Below are 7028 nucleotides of genomic sequence, written 5' to 3'. Positions count from 1 at the left end.
CCATGATAATTCCTCCCACCCTTACCTGCACTCTTCCCCCCTCTCCAGGCAACCTCTGTTCTGCCTTCTCTTGCTAATTTAGTTTGCATTTTCTGGAATTTTATGTAAATGGACTCATACAGAATGTTCTGTTTCCGGGGGGGTCTTGCTTGTTTTATTCAGCATAATGATTTCAACATTCATCGATATTGTTGGATGTATAAATAATTTTTTTTTTTTTTTTGAGACGCAGTCTCACTCTGTTGCCAGGCTGGAGTGCAGTGGCATAACCTTGGCTCACTGCAACCTCTGCCTCCCGGGTTCAAGCAATTCTCCTGCCTCAGCCTCCCAAGTAACTGGGACTGCAGGCATGCGCCAGCACGCCCAGTTAATTTTTGTATTTTTAGTAGAAACGGGGTTTCACTATGTTGGCCAGGATGGTCTCGATCTCTTGACCATGATCTGCCCGCCTCAGCCTCCCAAAGTGCTGGGATTACAGGCGTGAGCCACCACACCCGGCCTGCTTTTGCAATAATTTTATCAGCTAAGCACCAGGTCTCCTGCCAGGTATTTGCACTACAGAAGTGTGAAATATTTACAGTTTATTGCTTGTATTTCCTGCGTTGGTCCTTTTATTTTCTTTTGTCATGGGCTCTGAATTTATCTATTCTTAGAAGGTTTTGCATTCACCCTTAATCTAAGGTATATATCTTATTCAATCGAGTTATTTGGTCAACTTATTTTGTAATTGGAATCATTATTGAACTCCTACTTTAATGAAGGTAACACTGAAGATTCATAATAGCTACTTAGTCTAATTTTATTTAGATATTCTAATCTGTTTTTGTTTCCAGTTCAATATTATACTAGTAAGATAATCTACATAATATCTCTATGTCCTCAAATATACTGATTTTAATTTTTTCTCATGATAATTCTGTACAAGTTAGTCATTTAAGATATAAACAGTTTTCAGAAATGGTAGAAGAGTTCCCAACCATTTTACCACAGGACTGATGCTGTCTTCCACCACCCTGTTTTTGAAATATTGTGCCTGTTAAAATATAATTACTTAAGGCTGGGCTCAGTGGTTCATGCCTGTAATCCCAGCACTTTGGGAGGCCAAGGCAGGCGGATCACCTGAGGTCAGGAGTTCAAGACCAGCGTGGCCAACATGGTGAAACCCCGTCTCTACTAAAAATACAAAAATTAGTCGGGTGTGGTGGTGGGTGCCTGTAATCCCAGCTACTTTGGAGTCTGAGGCAGGAGAATCACTTGAACCCAGGAGGAGTAAGTTGCAGTGAGCCAAGATCAAGCCACTGCATTCCAGCCTGGATGACAAGAGTGAGACTCTGTCTCAAAAAAATAATAATAAAATAAAAAAAATATAATTATTTAATATCTTTAACTTACTTTCCTGTTATTAACTCTAGAAAAGCATAACTAGACAAGTTCACTCTCATTATCTGATGTATGTCTATACTAACAATCCATCAGCCACATAACAAGAATTCCTATCATTTCAGCAGCCACCCAATCTGAATTACCTGATTTACTCATTCAACAAATACTTATGTGCCAGGAAATGTAGGTATTGTTGTTAAAATGGTAAACAAAACATGCAAAATTTCTAGTTTTCACAAAGAATCTACATTCTAAGAGATGTAGGCCAGTTGACCAATGAACAAGTGAAAAATAATGTATGGGCATCCAGTTCCTGACAAGATGGAGCAGATACACTTCTCCCTATTTCTCCCACTAAGTACAGCTAAGACCCCTAGGCATTATATGTAAAACAAACAAGAAGACACTGCAAGTTGGAGGGGAAAAGGCATTTAGGACCTTCAGGATACAGAGAAAGACACAGAGGTGAATTCCTGTGGTATTTTTATTTTTATATTTTTGTTTCTGTTTCATGTATCTTCCAGTAACAGTGGAGACCGCATGAATTGGGTGCTAGAGAAGCCTACAACTCAAAAGTGCTGCAGTTGATTCTACCCAGGGAGTTATTTCAGTAATTGGATTTTTCAGTTATAAAATTTCTATTTGCTGTTCTTTGAAAATATCTTCTAGCTTTTGCTGAGACTATTTCTTTGCTGAGACTTTTTTTTCAAACATTTAACTAAATGCTTCCTGAAGCATTTTTATGGTGACTGCTTTAAAATCCTTGTCAAATAATTCCATCCAACAATAGCAGAATACATTTTTTCTTTAAGTATCCACAGAACATTCACAAAGAATGACTACATACTGGGCCATAAAACAAACCTAACCAAATTTGCAAGATGAAATCATACAGAGTATATTCTCTGGCCACAATGGAACCAAACTAAAAATAACAGACAACAGGAGAATCTCCAAACATTTGGGACTAAACAAAACAGCTCTAAATAATGCCTAAGTCAAGGAATAAGTCTCAAAGGGAAAAAAAAAATTAAACATAGGCCTGAATAAAAATACAACTTATAATATGTGAGACATAGCTAACGAATGCTGAGAGGGAAGGTTAGAGCTCTGACTGCTTGTGTTAGAAAAGAGGAATAGTCTCAAATCAATTAAGTTCCTACCTCAAGAAACTAAAAGATCAAGAGCAAAGCAAACCTAAGGCAGCAGAAAGAAGGAAATAACAAAGATAACAGAAATCAATGAAATTAACGGGATAACAATAGAGAAAATAGTTGAAGCAAGAAAACCTGTTAAAATTTATATCATAGAAGCAGAGAGCAGAACAGCAGGTTGCCAGAAACTGGAGAGGGGAGGATGGAGAGAGGTTGGTCAACAGGTACAAAGTTACGATTAGATAGGAAGAATAAACTCTGGGGTTCTATTATTGCACAGTAGGGTGACTGTGGTTAACAATAAAATACCATATATTACAAAATAGCAGGAAGAGAGGCTTTTGAGTATTCTTACCACAGAGAAGTGATAAATGCACAAAATGATGGATACACTACACTGATTGGATCATAATACAACATAGATATTTATCAAGATGTCAAATTGTACTCCATAGATATGTAAAATTACATTGTGTCAAATACATAAAACAATTTTAAATCAATAAAACAGGTAAACCTCTAGCAAGACTGGCAAAGATAAAAAGAAAGGCCAAATCACTAATAACAAGAATGAGAAAAGGGATATTATTACAGATCCTGCATTCGTTTGAAGGATCATAAAGGTAGATTTGAAAATTTGCACTCATAACTTTGACAACTTAGAAGAAATGAACCAATTCTTCAAAAAGTCCAGGTGGCCAAGATGAAACAGATAGTTTGAGTAGTCTTATAATCATTAAAGAAATTGAATTCATAATCTAAAAGTTTCCAAATCATCAGGCCCAGATGCCTTCACTGGAGAATTCTACCAAACATGTGAAGAAGAATTAGCACCAATTTTACAAAACCTGTTCCAGAAAATGGAAAGTATACGCTCCAACTCATTTTATAAGGTTAGAATTACTCTGATACCATAAGGAGACAACGGCAGCACAAAAAAGAAAACTACAGTCTAGTATCCTTCATGAACTTAGATGCAAAAGTTCTCAACAAAATATTAGCAAATTGAATCTAGGTATTTATAAAAAGAAGTATACACCATGACTAAGGGGGATTTTTTTTTCCAGTACAAAAGTTTGTTTTAATATTTAAAACTTAATCAGTGTATTTCATCACATCAACATATATATATAACAGAAATATTGTATAACCATACAATTGGCACAGAAAAAGCATTTGACAAATCCAACACCCATTCATGACAGAAACTTACAGCCCACTAGAAATAAAAACTTCCCACTTCATAAAGAACATCTGCAAAACATTTACAGATAACTTCATACTTAACAGCAAAAGACTATGCTTTAACCATAACATTGGGATGAAGACAAGAATGTCCACTCTCACCACTCTTATTCAACACAGCACTGAAAATACAAGCCAAAGCAACAGGCAAAAAATGATTAAAAGCATACAGATTGCTTGTAGATTTCATGTACACGCACAAAAGAAAACAAAATACAAATTGGAAACAAAAAAACCTGCTCCTATTTGCAGATTATATAATTGTGTGCATAGAATATTCCAAATAATCTATTACAATTTTTGAAGCTAATACAAAATGTAGCTAGAACCAGTAAATGAATTCAGCAAGGTTGCAAGATACAAATCAACATGCAAATAACAATCCTGTTGTTATGTACTAATAATGAACATTTGGACATTGACATTTAAAATGCAAAGCCATTTGTAATCACTCCAAAAATAATGTAGAAGTCTAACAAACGTACAGGATCTGTATGCTGATAAAATGCTGAAGAAAGAAATCTGAATAAATGGAGAGACATATCATGTTTGTGGATTAGAAGATACAACATGGTAAAGATATCGATTCTTCCTATGTTTAGGTTTGACACAAATCCTATCAAAATCTCAGCAAAAATTTTTGTAGATATAAATTTATTCTAAAATGTGCATGGAAAGGCAAAGGACTAATAACTAAATTTTGAAAAAGAATAAAGTGAGAGGAATCACTGTACCCGATGTCAAGGTATACTATAAACCTACAGTGATCAAGAGAGTTGGATATTATAGAAGGACAGACATATAGTTGAATGGAACAGACTGGAGAACCTAGAAATAGATCCAAACAAAAACGCCTAATTCTTGACAAAGGTGCAGAAGCCACTGAGTGGAGGAAGGATAGCTTTTTCAGACAATGGCAATAGAGCACCGAACATCCGTAAACCAAACAACAACAACAACAAACTCAAAATGGGTCATGGGCTAAAATAATACCTAAAACTTGAGACCTCTTAGAAGCATCAGAGCCTAGGGCTAGGCAAAGATTCTTAAAACTGACATCAAAAGCATAATTCATTAAATGAAATGTTTATGACTTTGTATTTATCAAAATGTAAAATTTATGCTCTGAAAGACCCTGTTAAAAAGATGAAAAGACAGCCGGGCGCAGTGGCTCATGCCTGTAATCCCAACACTTTGGAAGGCTGAGGCCGGTGGATCACGAGGTCAGGAGATCAAGACCAGCCTGGCCAACATGGTGAAACCCCTTCTCTACTAAAAATACAAAAATTAGCTGGGCATGGTGGCATGCGCCTGTAGTCCCAGCTACTTGGGAGGCTGACGCAGGAGAATCGCTTGAACCCGGGAGGCGGAGGTTGCAGTGAGCCGAGATCGTGCCGCTGCACTCCAGCCTGGTGACAAAGCGAGACTGTGTCTCAAAAAAAAAAAAAAAAAAAAAAAAAAAAAAAGATGAAAAGACAAGCTACAGATAGGGAAAAATATTTGCAAGCCAAGTCTTTGACAGAGGACTTATAACTAGAATATAAAAAGAATTCACCAAATCTCAACAGTTAAACAGCAAACAATTTAACTAGGTATGGGCAAAAATCACGAACACACATTTTGCTGTAGAGTGTCCAACAATGGGCAGCTACTTGTGTCATTCACTGGACCATTTATGCCCCAGTGAATAGCATCTTCCAGGCACCCTCACTCACAAGGTTGCTTAACTTTTTTCTTTTCATTGCAAGTTTTCCCCAAACTCTTATCAGCTGAATGTAGACACTTAAAAGAAAAAAAAAAAGCAGATAAAGAAGTTTTGTGCAGACATTTAAAAGGTTACAATAGCAACTATCAGGAGAGCACGTAGTCTGTTGGCCGGGAGCTCGCGGAGTGCCAAGTAATGTGGAGGAGTCCATCATGCAGAGTTAGCTGGAGCACCAGAGAATCTTCTTTCCTTAAAAAACTGAGGTTGCGATATAGGCCAGAGAGAAATCAAGGGAGCACAAAAAGACCTGTTCCACACTGGTAAGCACAGACTTGCACTTTCATTTTTAAGTGCAAATCATCCACTCAGTCATAACAAACTTTTTTTTTTTTTGAGACAGGGTCTCGCTCTATCGCCTAGGCTGGAATGTAGTGTCACCATCACAGCTCGGCTCACTGCAGCCTAGACTTCCTGGGCTCAAGGGATCCTCCTACCTCAGCCTCCTCCTGAGTAGCTGAGACCACAGGCATGTGCCACTATGCCCAGCTAATTTTTTTAATTCTTGAAATTTTCTGTAGAGACAAGGTCTCGTTATGTTGCCCAGGCTGGTCTCAAACTCCTTAGCTCAAGCCATACTGCTGTCTGGGCCTTCCAAAGTGTTGGGATTACAGGCATGAGCTACCATGCCTGGCCTGCAACAAACTTTTAATAACAACTAAGGCATTGGGCAACTGGGTTCAATCCTACCTAAAGTAACTTAACCTCTAAACATTCATCAGGAAGTGGCATATGATATTGGATCCTGGAGAGTCTATTCACATCCTATAATCTAGCCAATGCAGTATAGCTATTAATACAATGGGAAGACTCTTACTCCTTCCTTCTTGCCCACCACTTAGGCAAGAACATGTGCTACTAGATCCTGGGAAGTCTCATCATGTGTCCTATCCAGTCCTGTGGGAGCACATCTATCTTTCTTCTGAAAGGGCATTGTAATGTCACCAGCCCCATGTTTGGCACCAATTTGTCAAGGAAAGGCTAGCATATAGTCATGTGTCACTTAATGAAAGAGGTTATGTTTTGAGAAATGCATCATTAGACAATTTTGTCATTGTGTGAACATCGTAGAGTGTACTTACACAAACTTAGGCTGTTACTCCTAGGTTACAAACCCATAGAGCATGTTACCATACTGAATTGTAACCCAATGGTATTTGTGTATCTAAACATAGAAAAGGTACAGTAAAAATATTATAATCTTTTTTGTGTGACAGTGTTTTGCTTTGCCACCCAGGCTGGAGTGCACTGGCACAATCATAGCTCACTGTAACCTCGAATTCCTGGGCTCAAGTAATTCTCCCACCTCAGCCTCCTAAGTAGCTAGGACTACAGGTGCATGCCACCACACCCAGCTAACTTTTATTTTTGTTAGAGATGGAGTCTCGCTGTTTCCCAGGCTGGTCTCAAACTCATGGCCTCCAGAAATCCTCCCACCTTGGCCTCCCAAAGTGCTGGGATTACAAACGTGAACCACCATACGT

Source organism: Homo sapiens, chromosome 6 (genome assembly GCF_000001405.40).
Source record: "Homo sapiens chromosome 6, GRCh38.p14 Primary Assembly".
In the NCBI taxonomy this organism is placed as follows: domain Eukaryota; kingdom Metazoa; phylum Chordata; class Mammalia; order Primates; family Hominidae; genus Homo; species Homo sapiens.
The sequence above is the reverse complement of the archived record's forward strand: the minus strand, read 5'-3'. Positions refer to the sequence as shown.